Source organism: Homo sapiens, chromosome 17 (genome assembly GCF_000001405.40).
Source record: "Homo sapiens chromosome 17, GRCh38.p14 Primary Assembly".
Taxonomy (NCBI): Eukaryota; Metazoa; Chordata; class Mammalia; order Primates; family Hominidae; genus Homo; species Homo sapiens.
Genome location: NC_000017.11, coordinates 60,588,260 through 60,607,354, shown reverse-complemented (window position 1 = coordinate 60,607,354; position 19,095 = coordinate 60,588,260). Strand labels below are relative to the sequence as shown.

At 42.4% G+C, this 19,095-nt stretch overlaps 1 protein-coding gene across 3 annotated transcripts in view, besides 4 other annotated features; it reads right to left on the bottom strand.

Annotated features, from left to right (window-relative positions):
- PPM1D (protein phosphatase, Mg2+/Mn2+ dependent 1D) overlaps positions 1–7,162 on the bottom strand; it is a 66,088-nt gene extending 58,926 nt beyond the window's left edge. For all 3 annotated transcript variants that reach the window (XR_934577.3, XR_007065507.1, NM_003620.4), the window contains exon 1: positions 6,469–7,162. Coding sequence is in view for 1 of the 3 variants with exons in the window: in NM_003620.4 (NP_003611.1) it covers positions 6,469–6,940 (472 nt within the window). In the remaining 2 variants the exon portion in view is untranslated. The remainder of the gene's footprint in view (positions 1–6,468) is intronic.
- Positions 6,253–7,240: an enhancer, noted in NCBI's record as "NANOG-H3K27ac-H3K4me1 hESC enhancer chr17:58677476-58678463 (GRCh37/hg19 assembly coordinates)". NCBI's record gives its function as "activates a minimal SCP1, AML or CMV promoter by ChIP-STARR-seq in primed H9 embryonic stem cells {active_cell/tissue: H9 hESC(primed)}" and the evidence as "EXISTENCE:reporter gene assay evidence [ECO:0000049][PMID:30033119]".
- Positions 7,043–7,092: an enhancer, noted in NCBI's record as "active region_12532". NCBI's record gives its function as "activates an Ori minimal core promoter by ATAC-STARR-seq in GM12878 lymphoblastoid cells {active_cell/tissue: GM12878}" and the evidence as "EXISTENCE:reporter gene assay evidence [ECO:0000049][PMID:35858748]".
- Positions 7,241–8,229: an enhancer, noted in NCBI's record as "NANOG-H3K27ac-H3K4me1 hESC enhancer chr17:58676487-58677475 (GRCh37/hg19 assembly coordinates)". NCBI's record gives its function as "activates a minimal SCP1, AML or CMV promoter by ChIP-STARR-seq in naive H9 embryonic stem cells {active_cell/tissue: H9 hESC(naive)}" and the evidence as "EXISTENCE:reporter gene assay evidence [ECO:0000049][PMID:30033119]".
- Positions 15,960–16,160: a silencer, noted in NCBI's record as "peak2928 fragment used in MPRA reporter construct". NCBI's record gives its function as "represses an SCP1 promoter by STARR-seq MPRAs in K562 erythroleukemia cells {active_cell/tissue: K562}" and the evidence as "EXISTENCE:reporter gene assay evidence [ECO:0000049][PMID:32103011]".

Here is a 19,095-nt window from a genome sequence, read left to right as displayed (position 1 = left end):
GCTGAGATCGCACCATTGCACTCCAGCCTGGGCAACAAGAGCAAAACTCCGTCTCAAAAATAAAACAAAACAAAACAAACAAAAAAACTTATTTCTTAGAAGGCAAGCATAATAAAAGGGCAGTAAACATATATATGTGAGTATAAATTAGGCATAACCTAAAACTTATGATCATGAATAAAGAAAAAAGAAAAATAATGACCTTTTAATAAAGAATATATTCAGGCCTGGATGTGGTGGCTTATGCCTGTAATAACAGCATTTTGGGAGGCCAAGCTGGGAAGACTTCTTGAACCCAGGGTAAGGAACCACCCTGGGCAACATGGCAAGACCCTGTCTCTATAAAAAAAAAAAATTAAAAAAAAAAATTAGCTGGGCGCATGCCTGTAGTCTCAGCTACTTTGCAGGCACATGCCTGTAGTCTCAGCTACTTCAGAGGCTGAGGCAGGAGGATCCCTTGAGCCAAGGAAGTCAAGGCTGCAGGGACCTTTGATCATGCCATTACACTCCAGCCTGGACAACAGAGCAAGACCCTGTCACACACACAAAAAAAGAATATATTTATATACTCTTTCATTCCATACTGTATTTACCAAATCTCCCTACCTCAAGACAAAAATAAGCCATTTAAAAAATTTTCCTTTGTAAATTTGGGAGGCGTACACATCATTAGAAAGACAAGAGAGGTCAAGCTTAACACCAAATAATTCAAGAAGGGCTCAGTAACATAGAAAAGCTATAATTTTAAAATGTAAGACAGTCCACATTCATCAGGATTTTTTTTTTTAATACAAAAGTTAACAAGCGTTAGAATATGGGGAAATTGAAGCCTTCATACCTTGCTGGTAGGAATGTAAAATGGTACAGCTGCTGTGTAAACAGTTTGGCAAGTCCTTAAAATGTTAAACATAGAATTACCATATGATCCAGCAATTCCACTTATAGGTTCATACCCAAAAGAATTGAAAAACTGGGATGCAAACAAATGCTTGTACACCAATGTTCACAGCAGTACTAGTCACAATAGCCAAAAAGTGGAAACAACCCAAATGTCCATCAACAGAAAACTGGATAAACACAATGTGGCATGCATACATCTATATGATGGGATATTATTCAGCAGAAATTCTGACTCATGGTACAATATGAATGAACTCTAAAGACATGCTAAGTAAAATAAGTCAGACACAAAAGAACACTTTTCTACTTAAATGGAGTACTGGAATAGTCAAATTCATAGCAGTACAAAGTAGAATGGGGAGGTTACCAGAGATGGGAAAGGGGGAAACAATGAGATATTATTTAATGGACACAGAGTTTCTATTTGGGCTGATGAAGTTTTGAAAACTGATAGTGGTGATGGTTGTACAACATTATGAATACACTTAACGCCACTAAATTATATACCTAAAAATGGCTAAAATGGTATAAATTTTATTTATTTATTTATGAGACAGAGTCTCGCGTCTTCTCCCAGGCTGGAGTGCAATGGCGTGATCTCAGCTCACTGCAACCTCTGCCTCCCAGGTTCAAGCAATTCTCCCACCTCAGCCTCCCCAGTAGCTGGGATTACAGGTACACACCACCACGTGCGGCTAATTTTTTTGTATTTTTAATAGAGACTGAGTTTCACCATGTTGGCCAGGCTGATCTCAAACTCCTGACCTTGGGTGATCCGCCCGCCTTGGCCTCCCAAATTGCTGGGATTACAGGCGTGAGCCACCACGCCTGGCCTGGTATAAACTTTATGTTATCTGTATTTTAGCACAATTTTTTAAAAGGAGAAATTTTAATTAAAAAATGGAAGAAAGTCCATTTATTTACTTACACTCAACAGAAATTCAACTAAACTCAACTAGTTGTTGAGCAGCTACTTTGGGCAAGGTATTATGTGGCCAATCCTAAAACAATTAAAGATGAGTAAGGCAGTATCTCTGGCCCCAAAGACCTCAAGATTTAGCTGACAGGCAGATACTATAGCAGACTAGCATCTCCCAGTGGTCTGTGTAATCTTTATAGGGATTCTACAAGGCCAAAACTATTTTCATAATAATTCTAAGAGTTTATTTGCCCTTTTCACTGTGCTGACATTTGTACTGATGGTAGAAAGCAATGGCTGGTAAACTACTGGTACCTTGGCAGGAGTCAAGGCAGTGGCACCAGATTGAGCCATTAGTCACTGCATTCTTCACAGCTACCTAATTACAGTCCAAAAAAAGCAAGCTAGTTTCACTTAAGAATATTCCTGGCCAGGAGTGGTGGCTCATGCCTGTGGGAGGCCGAGGCAGATGGATCACTTGAGGTCAAGAGTTCAAGACCAGCCTGGCCAACATGGCGAAACCCCATCTCTGCTAAAAAAAATACAAAAATTAGCTGGGTATGATGGCACATGCCTGTAGTCCCAGCTACTCAGAAGGCTGAGGCACGAGAATCGCTTGAACCTGAGAGGAGGAGGTTGCAGTGAGCTGAAATTGTGCCACAGCACTCCAGCCTGGGCAATACAGTGAGACTCCGTCTCAAAAAACAAAAACTAAAATTAAAAAAAGAATATCCTTGATGACACAATAAAAATTAATTGTATTAAATCCCAACCCATGAATACCTACTTTTTTCTTCTGTTGCCCAGGCTGAGTGCACAGGCTCCATCATGGTTCACTGTAACCCCACCTCCCAGGCTCAAGCAATCCCTCCATCTCAGCCTCTGGAGTAGCAGAGACTACACGCACATGCTACCATGCCAAGCTAATTTTTTATTTTGTATAGCAACAGGGTCTTGCCATGTTGCCCAGGCTGCATATCTTTTTAATATTCTATATGACAAAAAGGAGACTACATAAACAGGCTTTTGTTACATACTACAGGAAAAGCACCTGTGATTGTCTGAGTCATGTAATGAACTAGCCACATTTTTCATGGACCATCATCTTTACTTGAGAGACTGATAAACTGTGTTAATAAGACTTGGGCATTTGGTGTACATCTTCAACATGAACAAAGTGAGCTTTTCGCTTCAAGAAAAACTGACAGTATTTGTTCTCAATGATACATTTCTAATTGTTGCTTGAAAAATACATTTTGGATAATGTGTATCCACAACAGTGAACTAGATAGCTTCCCAATATTTAAAGAGTTTTCTGATGAGATCAGTGATATTAACAAACATGATTTTCTTTGATATTGTATAATGAAATGTGTTGCTATTCAGAGGACGTTCTTAACTGAGTGAACCATTATTTTCCAAATAACTAATGCACTATGTCACAAAAATCACACATGGATGAGATTCGTTCAAAGTACAAAATAGACCAATGGATCTTAACGTATTAAGTATGAAATTCATTACTAAGGTTTCAAATTCCAATTCAGCAAACTTTAAGAAACTACTTTTCTTCCACCTTTCTCTGGGGGGGAAAATAGCTACCATTTTAGTGCAGAATATCCACAATTATCTGAAAAGACTAATAAAATATTTCTCCTTTTTCCTACTACATATGCATGTGGGGCTGCTATTTCTTTAGATACTTCAACCAAATAGCGCAAGAGATTGAGTGCAGAAGTGGATATGATAATTCAGCTGTCTTTTTTTTTTTTGAGACGGAGTCTCACTCTGTTGCCCAGGCTGGAGTGCAGTGGCCCAATCCCAGCTCACTGCAACCTCCGCCTCGCGGGTTCAAGCAATTCTCTCTGCCTAAGCCTTCTGAGTAACTAGGATCACAGGCATGCACCACCACACCCGGCTAATTTCTGTATTTTTAGTAGAGACAAGGTTTCACCATGTTGGCCAGGCTGGTCTCAAACTCCTGACCTCAGGTGATTCGCCTGCCTTTGTGTCCCAAAGTGCTGGGATTACAGGCGTGCGCCCGGCCATTCAGCTGTCCTCTATTAAGCCAGACATTGAAAGAGGTTTGCAAAATGTAAAACAACCCCACTCCTCCCACCACTATTTCTTATTTGGGGAAAAAAGTGTTTTTTCTTTAAAATATATATATAAACATATAAGTTTGTTTTTAAAGAAATATTTTTAAATTGCCTAAGTTTAAATTTCTCATATAGTAAATACTGGAAGATGTAGCCCACATAAAAACTCTCTGGGGTCCTCAATAAGCATATAAAGGGTTCTGAGAGCAAAAAGTTTGAGAACTATTACTACAATCCAATGAGCACTACAAAAGTAGAAAAAAGGGTGCTCAATTCCAAAAGAAAGTAGTCTTCACAGAAGAAAACATACTGACTGGGAATCTACATGATGGATATATTTTTGTTTGAGTTTTCCTTGTTGGGGGGGCAGGGTGAGAGAGGCAGAATCCAAGAAAATGGAAATGGAGTATTTCCATGTGTCCTGAAAAAAGGTGAGTAGAGACTAATGTAATGGAAATTCGTGTAACAAATATAATTTACTGGAGAGGCTGAATATGTACAGGAAAGGGGTTGGCCTGCAGATTGCAAACTACAGTTTACTTTACAGAAAATGTGGAGCCATCCAAGAATTTGTGATTGAAAAAAAAATTTAAACCTTCGTTTCCTTTGTCAAGACTCCCAAAATAATTAGCATACTTTTTTTTTTTTTTTTTTTTTCAAGCTTTGAGGACGAAGTCTGAGGTCTAGCTGTGGTACAAAACAAACTTTAACATTTTTCTGGAGTATAAGGCTCTAAACTTTATGCATCATAAGAGTGACAGCTTAATTCGAAAAGTCTGTGTATGTAAAACTAAACCATACATATTTACATTTAACAGCATGGCCCCTGCTTTATTAAAAAATGTTCCTGAAGGTCCGGCAGGGTAGCTCACGCCTGTAATTCCAGCACTTTCGGAGGCCGAGGAGGAAGGATCGCTTGAGCCCAGGATCGCTTGTTGCCCAGCCTGGGCAACAAAGTAAGGCGGCCCACACCCGTCCCCCGCCCCTGCCCGTCTCTTAAAAAAAAAAAAATTTAATACTAATGTAACGGAGTTTATACCTTAAAGATTTTTTATCCTTAAAGTTCAAACATATGGCAAATTCATGTTACTCCAAGTATACTGCAAAATAAACAGCACTCTAAATAGTTCTGTGCCTAGTCTTCCTCTCTTGTGCTGCTGTCGACTTCTCGTTGCCCTGCAGTCAATGATATCACATATTTCTACAATACACTACAGTGCTTTCAGCTCTACGGTGCCTACACAAAAACAAAATAAATCCATAAAGAGGGGCCCCTGGGATGGATGGGAAACGCCTCCAACAAGCCTAGTGGCTGGTTTTTGAGTCAATCAACTAACTCTTGGCAGAAAGCCAAGCAAATGGAAAACAGACTTTGAAACCGGCTAATCTACAACTCTATGACAATACCTTTCTAAAAATGTTCTGTATTTGCTAAATCTAACTCTTTTCTCTATGTCTCTATCCCTCTGCTGAAAATAAAGCAACGTTATTATGCTGCCATAAACAAGGTTTTTTCCCACCACTGGAAGTATTGTCTTCTTTGCTCTAACAAAGATGCATGCCATTTATTCACTGCAATAGATAAGCAATTATAATGCTGTAAGATGATTCTGTAAATGTTGGGCACAGAAATCCTGCCTGCTTTACAAACATTTAAAAAAACTTAGATGAAACTACAACTACACCGAAATTTTTAGACATTTAAGACCTTTATTTCCTTCTAGCATACAGTAATTCCTTGCCTTTTCTTATTTTGATGGGCAGTTACAATTTATAAGTACTTTTTAAACTAGGAACAACCGGTTGGGAACTATCTGAAAGCAATCAGCTAAGGCAATTTCCAAAAAGAAAACCCAAGCAGAATCTAACGCACACCCTTAACACGGGGCCAGTTTTTAAGAGGTAACAACACGTTCCGCGTTTTTAGTTTTCATAAGCAGTACAGGTTTATGATCCTAAAAACATCTCACCATCATTACAACGGAATTCCTTCCAAAACTTTAAGTTGCCGGATGGTTACGTTTCAGCCCTTCTAAATTAGCTTACGCTTTACTCCAGCAACCAACCCCAGCAATCCCGGGTCAATCTGGAGAACTGACACCACCGGTAGGAGGCAACCGAGAGGGATAAGACTTTCAGGAGCAGAATTATGACAGATTCTCTAAGGAAACACTACAGTTTTTCCTTCGCCTGGCCCAGGTGCAACATCGATTTATCTTTTGGCCAAAATCTGGCGCCAGGTTTCAAACACGTTTCCTCTGGTTGCCACCAAAGTGAAGCAGGGAAGGGAGTGGACTGCTTCCCATTGATCCTTGGAGGATGGAAATAAAGCAAGAATAGGCTGCAGGGAGACGGCAATCCTATCTTCCCCAAGGCCGCTTGGTTTGCCCGGACCTCCACCCAGCAAAGCGCTATTACAGCTTTTAGTCACTTCCATCAGTGTATACTTTGGTTGCGCTCTGGGTGCCGGGGGCCCACGCGGGGCTGGTGCCATAAAAGCCCTGAACTGCCTGAAAAAGGGGCGGGCGCCAAACAAGCCAGGGAACTTACCCAGTTTCTTCCACATGGCAAGGTGACAAGCGAGAAAGCCTTTGCGGATGGCAGCGCAAACCTTAGCCGGCTCGGACGAGGTGAAACCCTTCTGCTTCTTGATGAAACCCCACAAGTGCTCCCGGGCAAACTGTGCCGCCTCCCGCCCGCCGTGCCCGTCGCACACGGCGAAAAAGGCCACGGAGGAACGGCGGCGGCAGCAGCGGCTAGGTGCCGGCGAGGCCCCGGCGTCCGGGAGAGGGTCGCGAGCCTCTCGGGCTGCCACCGCTGGGCCTTTCCCCGAGACTTCGCCGCCGGGAAGGGCGGCCGGCGACGGCCGCGGAGGCAACGGCTGAGACAGCGACCGCCGCGGCGAGGGCTTTTCTTCAGCCGTCGGTTCGGGCTCCACAACGATTTGAGTAACGTCCTCCATGTACTTCCTCCCGCCCTGGTCGGAGAAGACGCTCACTCCCAGCGAGTACAGCCCCGCCATGGCCGGCTGGCCGGGATCCCGCCGGTCCCACGCAGCCCGCCGAATCCGGCGGCGGGAGACACACTAGGCGCTCGCCGGCCAACTATTGTTTATCTTCGACGACGCCGAGAAGGGGGAGGGGGCGGACCCGGAGAAGGGGGGGCGCGCGATGTCTGGACTTGTCCGCGAGAGCTGGGCCGGAGCGCCGGAGCGAGCAGAGCCAGGCAGTTGCGCCTGCGCACTGCGCTTCCCCCCACCGCCCGCGCCCACCACACAAATCAGGCGTTCTCCCCCGCTGACGTCACTCGGCTCTCTAAGCTCGACCAATCCGGAGTCGAGTGGAGCGAGCCCGCCCTCCGTCCCCGCCTTCGCTCCCGCCTGCGACGGCCGCGCTGCCTCCTCCCGCCGCTGGCGCTGGGCCCGCGCATCTCCTAGTTTGCTTCCCCTACGCCGCGGGCGTTTTCGCCCTCCGGGTTGTCGGCAGTTGTTGATCCTTTCCCGAGCGGCTTGGTCTGTGTAGGCTTTTGGCTCAGTCCAGCGTTCTTAATGCGGCCTGCTGGCCTTGGCGTCCCGCTGCTTGCTTTGCTAGGAAGGTGGTGTGGGCTCGGGCCCCCAGCGAGTGGAGAATGAAGGGAGAAGAGTTCACCCTCCTCCTAAGCGAAATGGCGGGAAACCTCCCTTCCAAAGGGCGATTGTGAGCTGGCCGGAACAAGTGCTGCACCCTTGAGCTGGATCTGGGTGGGACGTATTCGACTGGGAATGGAGGAGGGAGGGAGTCCAGTTCTGTTGTTTAAAAAGCACTTAGGAAATTTCCACCGTCAGCTGCACAGTCTCGGTTCACATAACTAGGTATGTCAGAGACGTAAGAGGGCTGTATTCTAACGAATTCCTAGGCAGATCTTTTCAGCTTTTGTTAAAGGTAGTGCTCGTTCCGACCAGCTCTGGATACAGCATTTTATTCCTGCGGTATCACTTCAAGTTATCACTTGAAAATAACTGACAAACACTGCCAAGAGCCCCAGTGCTCTAACGGTTTGGTGATCGTCCCCTCTCTTCACCGAGTCGGTCACAATCCCAACGCTAAAACCTTTGCACGGATTTTCATGGAGTTAAGCCGCAGAGCGAGGAATACACTAGTATTTGCTCAGTAGCATACGTTTTGTAGTTGAATCACTTTAAAGTTCACTTTTCCCGTTTTTGGCCATTTCTTCATCAATCTGTACTTTCCTGTAAAACCTTTGAGATTTTCAAATGGCCTAAAAACAGTATGGAAACGGGAATGGGGGGAATGTACATACAGTTGGCACAAGAAATAAAAATAGAAAAAATCTTTATATCAATAAAAATATAAATAAGCAAAATCAGCTCAAGAAAATGTAGAAAATCTGAATAGATCAACTAAGTAAAAATAAATACAATTGAAGATATTCATTACCCCAAAAAGCACTAGACCAGATGGTTCCAGGGCATGGAAACGCTTGAAAAAAAAAATCCCAGCTTGTTTGGAGAGGTAATCATAACCCTGTTAGTAAAACCTAAGCATTATGAACACTAAAAGGAAACCTACAGACCCTGTTTTGTAACGATGAATACAAAAATCCTAAATGAAATATTAGCATTGTAATTAGGGAGCAGCCTCCATATCACAAGAACGGTTTGTGTAGCTCTATATTATTCATCTTACCGTTCACCACGTTTGACCCAAGAGATTACCAAAAGATAATTCCATCATGCTTTATAATCCTTTCCACCTCAATCACAACCAGTAGGATCTGCGTCATCCGTTTATTGCTCTAGTATCTCCATGCTACTCTCTGCTTCAATTACTCTGATTCCATATCCCACTCTTCACCAAATATCCTAACCATTTCACTTCACACTTTTGATTTCAACATCTGCCATCAACCACTTCCCCTTTATTCTTAGCCTCTTCTGTAAATGTTCCCATCAACTTCCCATTCCAACTGAAACCCGGTTTATCACTTAGCAAAACTACCTCCCTTGCAACTTTTCAAGTACAGGAGGTTATTTTTCCTCTCATAGGTATTCTTATCTGTGGCCTATTCCTCATATTACCTCCAAACCACTTCTCTTCCTTCCTCCCTCAGAAACTCAAGTGCTTTTAAAATTTATGCAGACTGCTGCTACTCTGAGATGCTGTCAGCTACTGATCCCTGGTATCTCCCCATCATTTTTCATAGCCCACCGTCTTTGTTTCTTCCACTATTCGTGTCACTTCTCATCCACTTTATTTTTCAAGATACTATCCATATCTTCCATACTGTCTCCTTTTCAAGAGTTTTACTGCTCCAACAATTATCCTCCTTGCTCCTGCCTCATCAATCTCTCCTTTCTCTCTGTCTTTCTAAATGTTAAAGACGGGGTCTATGATGCCCAGGCTGGGGTGCAGTGATTATTCACAGGCGCAATTATAGCTCACTGCAGCCTCAAACTCCTGACCTCAAGTGATCCTCCAACTTTAGCCCCCAAGTAGCTGAGATTAAGGCACATGTCACCACACCCAGACTAATTTCTCCTCTTCTGGGTCATTTCCATTTGTGTATAAATATGTTCTGTTTTTTTTCTTTTTTTTGAGACAGAGTCTCCCTCCATCACCCAGGCTGGAGTGCAGTGACGTGATCTCGGCTCACTAGCAACCTCTGCCTCCTGGGATCAAGGAATTCTCGTGCCTCGGCCTCCCTAGTAGCTGGGACTACAGGTGTGAGCCACCATATCTGGCCACTATTACCTCTTACCTGGACCACTACACTCGCCTCCTCACAAATCTTTCTTTCACTCTTGGCCCTCTGCTATCCTTTTTCCGCTAGGTACTATAGCGATCTTTCAAAAACCATGAATCAGATCAAGTCATTCTTTTACTCAATACATGGCTTCCATCACATTTAATATAATGTAGGCCAGGCACAGTGGCTCACACCTGTTATTCCAGCACTTTGGGAGGCCAACGCGGGCAGATCACTTAAGGCCAGGAGTGGAGACCAGCCTGGCCAACATGGCAAAACACTGTCACTTCTAAAAATACAAAAATTAGCCAGTCATGGTGGCGTGCACTTGTAGTTCCAGCTACTAGGGGGAGAGGCTGAGGCAGGAGAATCACCTGAACCTGGGAGGCAGAGGCTGCAGTGAGCTCAGATCACACCACTACCTTGAAGCCTGGGCAACAGAGACTTTGTCTCAAAAAAATAAAATAATATGCAAACTCCTTATGAAGGCCTGAATCATCTGTTTGGCCCCTAAATGTTTGTCTAACATCTTTTCATAACACTTTCCCCTTCACCACTCACCGCTAGCTTCACTGGCCTTTTTTCTGTTCCTTGAACAGAAAATATCAAACTATTAGGAGACTTAGTGATTTTTTTTTTTCATTAGCGGTTCCCTCTCCTTGAAATGCCATCCCCACTCCCAGCAGCTTTACAAAGCTGGATTCTTCTTGCTACTCAGATCTCAGTTGAAATATTAAGGGACTTTCTTAACCACCCAATCTAACGTAGCCACCCAATATCTCTCTATCACATAACCCTATTTTAATTATCTGCAGAGGACTACTCACTAGCTGATCTTTTTTGTTTATTTGTCCCAATTAGAATATAGGCTCCATGAGAACAGGGAACTTGCCTTGTTCATTGCTGTACACTCTGAGCCTCGGACAAAGAGTTGTTGAGTGAGTTGATTAATTAATTTACTCAGCACGAAATGTATAAAATTAATATGAGGAAAACCAGGAAACGTTGCTAAAGAAAAAATAAGTCCTAAATAAATGTAAAAACATACCATGTTTCTAGATGAGAAAACAACTCAATTGGTCTCAAATTAATCTACAAATATAACTTTAATCAAAATTCCAACTGGATTCTTTTTTTTTTACTTGACAAGTTGATTCCAACATTTATCTGGAAGAGAAAATGGATAAGAATAGCCAAGATGTTGAAAAAGAAGGTGATTAGTTGTCCTACAGATATTAGAATATTTTTTATGTTTTAATTTTTATTTATTTATTATTATTATTTTTTTTTTTTTGAGACAGACTGTCACTCTGTCGCCCAGGCTGGAGTGCAGTGGTGTGATTTCAGCTCACTGCAAGCTCTGCCTCCCGGGTTCAAGCAGTTCTAATGCCTCAGCCTGCCGAGTAGCTGGGATTACAGGCACACACCACTATGCCAGGCTAGTTTTTGTATTTTTAGTAGAGACGGGGTTTCACCATGTTAGCCAGGATGATCTCGATCTCCTGACCTCGTGATCCGCCCGCCTCTGCCTCCCAAAGTGCTGGGATTACAGGCGTGAGCCACCGCGCCTGGCCATATGTTTTTTTTTAAATACTAAAAGAAAACATGGGATAAAAATATCCTAAAACATCTTTTTAAGTTTCCTTTGTTATATTTCCAGTGGTTTTATGCTTAAAATGTCCTCAGTGTCCTTTTAAGCCAGGTATTGTGGCTCATGCCTGTAATTCCAGCACTTTGGGAGGCCAAAGTGGAAGGGTTGCTTGAGGCCAGGAGTTCCAGACTAGCAAAGGTAACATAGCAAAACGAGGACCTCATATCTTAAAAAACAACAACAACAAAAACCCAGAAAATAAAACGTTCTTATTACTTCTGAGATTACTTAAATATGACTAAAATTTTATGTTTTCTTCTAGTATTTTTCTGGCTAAAATGTGTTTTTACATTCAAATTTATCTGGAATTATTTTGGCATAAAGTGAGTTTGAATTTCTTTCAAAAAAGTGTGTTTCCAATTGGTTACTGATACTTCCTTTATTAGTAAGTTTTTATATATGCTTGGATCTATTTCAGGGTTACCTATTGTCATCCACTGATTTGTTCATTTTAGGAGTCATGTCTTTAATCATAGAGTTCAAAATCTTCAAACATACACTCTGAGAATTAATTTTAGGCCAGGCACAGTGGCTCACGCCTATAATCTTAGCACTTTGGGAGGCCGAGGTGGGTGGATCGCTTGAGCTCAGAGTTCAAGACCAGCCTGGCCAACATGGCAAAACCCTGTCTCAACTAAAAATACAAAAATTAGCCGGGCATGGTGGCACCCGCCTGTAATCCCAGCTACTCGGGAGGTTGAGGCACAAGAATCACTTGAGCCTGGGAGATGGAAGTTGCAGTGAGCCAAGATCGCGCCACTGCATGCCAGCCTGGGTGGCAGAGCAAAGCTCTGTCTCAAAAAAAAAAAAAAAAAAAAAAGAATTAATTTCAGAAACAAAGTAAAAATCTCATTAATATGCTATTGTTTCTTCCCATAGCTAGAAAATATCAGTGACATCTACCAAGGAGAGTAGTAGTCCATTGTCCATCTATTAGAGCCACTTTGTGTATTTACAGCTGTGAGATAACGTGTCTCAAGAGGTTACATTCTGTACACCTGCCTTTACTCTGACCCTGTTGTTTTTGCAACTCAGTATTTAACAAAATAATCACTCTAATCTGACTACCACTGTCACATTCATTGTGTGTGAATGTAAATTGGTGGGAGACGCAAAATTGGAATCACAGCTGCCAGAGTCCCAAAGGTGTCAAAGCTGTATATGTTCTTAATTAGCCATGGAAATTCAATCTGTCATGTTTCTGCAGATAAGTGGTTTCTGAGTCAATAATGGGGAAAGAATATTTGTACCTTTGTCTCTTCAGATAGTTCTACTGATACACTTAGGCTTTTTTTTCTTTTTCTAAAGAGATGTGGCCTGGTCTTTATTGCGTCATTGCATTTTCTTTATAAAAAGTTCCTTTTTTTCCATTTTATGAAAAGTTAAATAAAAGCTATTTGTTTAAATAACTTGGAAAAACCATCTTTTTCCTTGAGGTAATTATTGCATGGTTTAGTTTTACTCAGCAGTACTATTTACTACACTTCTGCTGCAGAAGATTTTATGCCCCAAATAGTGTACCATCCAGAATTTGAGACGAAATTAGAGAAACCACCTTTAAGATAGAAACTAGGAGGCCGAGGAGGGTGAATCATGAGGTCAGCAGTTTGAGACCACCCTGACCAACATGGCGAAACCCTGTCTCTACTAAAAATACAAAAATTAGCCAAGCATGGTGGCGCCTGCCTGTAATTGCAGCTACCTGGGAGGCTGAGGCAGGAGAATCGCTGGAACCTGGGAGGCGGAGGCAGCAGTGAACCGAGATGGCACCACTGTACTCCAGCCTGGGTGACAGAGTGAGACTCTGTCAAAAAAAAAAAAAAAAAAAGATAGAAACTAAAGTTAAACATGACATTTGTGTTTGCAGATGTTAACAAAATTTTGATTTCTGAGCTAGCATAGGAGCAGATTATCTTAAAACACTCAGTGTTCCTTTGTGTTAAATGGGCACGACATTTTTTTTTCACATTTTCTTGCCTCTATCCAGTATGTAGAACTTAATTGAACTTAGAAGGGACCTCAGAACTATTTATTTATTTATTTATTGAGACAGAGTTTTGCTCTTGTTGCCCAGGCTGGAGTGCAATGGTGCAATCTTAGCTCACCGCAACCTCTGCCTCCCAGGTTCAAGTGATTCTCTTGAGTAGCTGGGATTACAGGCATGCACCACCACGCCCGGTTACTTTTTTGTATTTTTAGTAGAAACAGGGTTTCTCCATGTTGGTCAGGCTGGTCTCGAACTCCCGACCTCAGGTGATCTGCCTGCCTCGGCCTCCCAAAGTGCTGGGATTATAGGCACAAGCCACCGCACCCGGCCCAGAACTATTTATTTATTTAGAAACAGGGTCTTGGCCTGTTGCCCAGGCTGGAGTGCAGTGGTGTGATCATAGCTCACTGTAAACTTGAACTCCTAAATCACCTATTTAAAGAGAGGAAGCTTGGTCCAGGTTGGGTGGCTCACACCTATAATCCCAGCACTTTGGGAGGCTGATCACCTGAGGTCAGGAGTTCAAGACCAAGTTCAAGACCAGCCTGCTCAACATGGTGAAACCTTGTCTGTACTAAAAATATAGAAATTAGTCAGGCGTGGTGGTGGGTGTCTGTAATCCCAGCTACTTGGGAGGCTGAGGCAGGAGATCACTTGAACCTGGGAGGCGGAGGTTGCAGTGAGCGGAGATTGCGCCACTGCACTCCAGCCTGGACAACAGAGCAAGACTCCGTCTTAAAAAAAAATTAATTTGCCTTTATTGAGTCTTTCCAAAGTATTAAATTTAGTTTCATAGAGAGAAGTTATTTTTCCTCCACTCTTATTTCATCACATAATGTAACATTTACTTAAATATGTAATTAAAACAAGAACAACTGGAACAAACAGGTTAGTGAACAAGCATTAACTCAACAGTGGGAGCAGCAGTGTATGGATGTATCAGAGGATCAGAGGGTTGAAGTCTATCTCCAAGGGTTCAGCACGCACTGGGCTTCTATACATTTTTTTTTCTGAGACAGGGTCTTGCTGTATTGCCCAGGCTGGAGTGCAGTGGCACATTCATAGCTAACTGGAGCCTCAAAATCCTGGGCTCAAGTGATCCTCCCACATCAGCCTCTCACATGGCTGGACTACAGGGGTATGCCACCACATCTAGCTAATTTTTGGATTTTTTTGTAGAGACAGAGTCTTGCTGTGTTGCCCAGGCTGGTCTCAAACTCCTGGTCTCTAGTGATCCTCCTACCTCAGCCTACCAAAGTACTGGGATTACAGGCGTGAGCCACTGTGTCTAGCTCAGTATCTTCTTTTACAGGCAATCGAGGGCACTGATTTAGTTTTATCATTTAATGATTAGGCTTATCATTTAAGTGGTGATTAGTGGAAAGTGCTTCTGGCCTGTAATTATTCTTGGATGGGTTTTAATGAAAAATGGGGTAAATAAGTCAAAGGATTTACGGACAATGACAGACTGTCTTTGTAATGAGATTAATATGGCTTACTCTACCTGCTTACATATAATTAACTAAAAATCATATAAAGTATGTTCTGATACTTTAGTGGACATTTTGTTTTTTCCTTTCCAGTATCCATAACATCCATTCACCCTTCTTTTTTCTTTTTCAACTTTTATTTTCACATTAGAGGGTACATGTGCAGATTTGTTACAAAGATATATTGCATGATGCAGAGGTTTGGGGTATGAGTGAACCCATTACCCAGGTAGTCAGTATAGTACCCAATGGGTAGTTTTTCAGCTCTTGCCCTCCACCCCCTCTTCCCCCTTTAGTACCTAGTGTCATTGCGCTCATCTTTATGCCCATGTGTATCCAATGTTTATCTCCCACTTATAAGTGAGAACATGAGGTATTTGCTTTTCTGTTCCTGTGTTAATTTGCTTACAATAGTGGCCTACAGCTCTACCCATGTTTCTGTAAAGGACATGATTTTGTTCTTTCTTATAGCTGCATAGTATTCTGTGGTGTATGCGTACCACATTTTTTAAATCTAATTCACCATTGAGGGCACCTGGGTTGATTCTGTTGTCAACAGCGCTGCAATGAACACATGGATGCATGTGTCCTTTCGGTAGAACGATTTATTTTCCTTTGGGTGTATACCCAGTAACGAGATCGCTGGGTTGAACACCCTTCTTTTGGTGAAATAATACAAAGATTTTATCCTGGGTAATCACTCCCTCCCCTACTCTCAAGCTATGTGATTGGGTAGAATTGGTCTCAGCCTCAGCTCTGGGAGAGCTCAGACTGGGTTAGGTCAGTCAACATATTCCATCTCCATGGCCTTACTGATGGTTCATTAATGAACTCATAACCTAGTCAGAAGCCCAGTGAGATATAAGGATATTTGCTGGGGCTCTTGGGAAAGAAAAACCTCTCCCTAATAAAATGAAGCTACTGGAAGATAAGCTAAATTCTTCTTCAGGATTCTGTGTCCTATGAATGTGAAGTTGAGACTGCTACAGCCATTCTGTTACCAGGAAAGGAACTTGCCTGAAAATGAAGCTAACACTCAGAGGAAGAGGATCTGGGAGCTAGGTCCTACTAACATGATTTGAACTTTGGATAAAGTCATGACCATCACTGGACTTAGCAATAGTCTTTTCTGTTTCCTTTTCTAGTGAAAGCAGTTTGCCTTGGATTTTTCTTCACTTGCAATGTAAAGAATCTTTACTGACACAGATAAAAATCTCCTGTTCCTCCTCGCTAGGGAATTGAGGATACCCTGTAACTAGTATGATTGGTCTTGTTTGTTTGAGCTCCTAACTATACTGAATTCTTGTGTTGCACTGTTCTTTTCATCCTGTGTGGTCTGTTCTGAGATTTCTGCTTCTTTGTGAGTCTTTTTGATGTCCTAGTTTTTGTTTATGTACTAATTCAGAATATAATTTCTAATATATTAAGACTTTATAATTTCTTTTTAGCAGGAAATTATTTTTATAATGTTCACTAGCTTTCCACCCCTAGACATCCCTACTCCCTCTTGATCCTTCCCTCACTGAAGGATATTTGGGTTTGTGCCTCAGGAACATGATGTTAGAGAGGAAAAAAAGTTAAACATTCAGCTTTTTTGTTTCAAAAACATATCCTGGTATGCAAAAATATACAATTTAGCAGAGCCAGTTTTTTTGTGCAATGGAGACGATAAAGATTTTACAAATTCACAAGAAGACATATACAAGGTTGTTCATTGCATCATTGCTTGAAATGGCAAACATTGGAAACATCCATCAGTAGTGGAATAAGTAAGAAAATCCATATAACAGTGATAGCAGTCACAAGAAATATTCTTTTAGGAATAATATACTAGACATTGACTGACCCAGCAACCATTCCTGACTCTTTTCTCCATTTGCCACCTTCTCTATGGGGCTGAAAAGACTAATTATCCTCTTTCCTAAGCTCCTTTGCACGTAGGCCATGGGAAAATAATGATCGATGAGATTTTTTTTTCTTTTTTTGAGAAGGGGTATCATTATTTTGCCCAGGCTGGTCTCAAACTCTTGGGCTCAGCCTTTTGAGTAGCTGGGACCACAGGTGCACCACCGTGCCCAGCTGATCAGAGATATAAATGGAAGTTTGTTGAGGGATTCTAGAGACAAATGCAGCTGGCACTGCACTTTCCCCCTGCATACAGCCGTGAAGAAAGTGCCAGAAGTACAGAAATTCTGTCCCTGACATAACTGAGTTATGGGAAAAAAAATGCCAACAGCTATCGACCTCCAGAATATTTGTATGTGAGAGAAAAAAGTTCGTTTGTTTAAATCACTCTTGGTTGGGTTTCGTGTTATCTTTAGCCAGAAGCATTCCTAACTGGTACACTGTGTCAACATGGAAACATCTCAAAAATAATATTACAAGATAGTAAAGGAATAATTGCTTTTTTTTTTTTTTTTTTGACAGAGTCTTGCTCTTGTCACCCGGGCTGAAGTGCAGTGCTGCAATCTTGGCTCACTGCAACCTCCACCTCCCAGGTTCAAGCAATTCTCCTGCCTCAGCCTCCTGAGTAGCTGGGATTACAGGTGCCTGCCACCATGCACGGCTAATTTTTTGTACTTTTAGTAGAGACGGGGTTTCACCATGTTGGCCAGGTTGGTCTTGAACTCTTGACCTCAGGTGATTCACCCGCCTCAGCCTCCCAAAGTGCTGGGATTACAGGCATGAGCCACCACGCCCGGCCAAATAATTGCATTTTTATAAATTTTTTTTTGAGATGGGGTCTCACTCTGTTGTCCAGGTTGGAGTACAGTGGCAGGCTCATAGCCCACTGTAACATTTAATTCCTGGACTCAAGTGATCCTCCCACCTCAGCCTCCTCAGTAGCTGGGACTACAGGTGTACATTATTATACCTGGCTAATTTTTGTATTGTTTGTAGAGACAGGGTCTCACTATGTTGCCACCCAGGCTGGTCTTAAACTCCTGGCCTCAAGCAATCCTCCTGCCTTGGCCTCCCAAAGTGCTGGGATTACAGGCATGAGCCATGCACCAGCCTAAGTGGATTATTTTATTTTTAATATTTTAATTTAATTTAATTAATTTTTTTTTGAGACAGAGTCACACTCTGTCACCCAGGCTGGAGTGCAGTAGCGTGATCTAGGCTCACTGCAGTCTCTGCCTCCCAGGTTCAAGCAATTCTTCTGCCTCAGCCTCCCAAGTAGCTGGGATTACAGGTGCCCACCACCATGTCCAGGTAATTTTTGTATTTTCAGTAGAGATGGGGTTTCACCATATTTGCCAGGTTGGTCTCAAACTCCTGACCTCAAGTGATCTGCCCCCCTTGGCCTCCCAAAGTGCTGAAATTACAGGCATGAGCCACTGTTCCCAGCCAATATTTTAATTGTATAAAATAGAAATGGGGTCTCACTATGTTGGCCAGTCTGGTCTCAAACTCCTGGCCTCAAGCAATCCTCCCATCTCGGCCTCCCAAAGTGCTGGGATTACAGGTGTGAGGTACCATGCCCAGTCCTAAGAGGATGATTTGAAATGAATACACAAATTGATATGGCATAGCATATTTATATACATTTCATACACATTCAAGACATTATTATAGGCCAGGCGCGGTGGCTCATCCCTGTAACCCTGACACTTTGGGAGGCCAAATTGGGTGGATTACTTGAGGTCAGGAGTTCGAGACCAGCCTGACCAACATGGTGAAACCCCGTCTCTACTAAAAATACAAAAATTAGCTGGCCATGGTGGCACACACCTAATCCCAGCTACTCAGGAGGCTGAGGCAGGAGAATTGCATGAACCCAGGAGGTGGAGGTTGCAGTGAGCCGAGATCGCGCCACTGCACTCTAGCCTGGGCGACAGAGCAAGAATTCATCTCAAAAAAAAAAAAAAGACATTATCATATATTGCTAAAGTAAAATAATTTGTGTAATATATATAGTATAAAGTAATCTAATGTACGTAAAATCTAAAAATTGTACTGGAAAAATACAAACAAATATGGTAGTTGTTACCCTTGGGGAGAGGACATGGTTAATGGGACTCTGGGGTGCAGAGCAAGAGGTAAAAGAATATAAAATTTATCTGTAATTTTTGTATTTCTTTAAAATACAGCAGAAATATGACAAAATGTTAATAATCTTTGATCCTTGGTAGTGAGGACACACGTTCATTTTATTATTCTCCATATTTTTCTGTATTTAATAAAAAAAGACTGGACTCAGTGGCTCAGTGCTTTGGAAGGCTGAGGTGGGAGGATCGCTTGAGGACAGGAATTTGAGACCAACAAAGCGAGACCCCCATCTTTACAAAAGAAAAATTTAA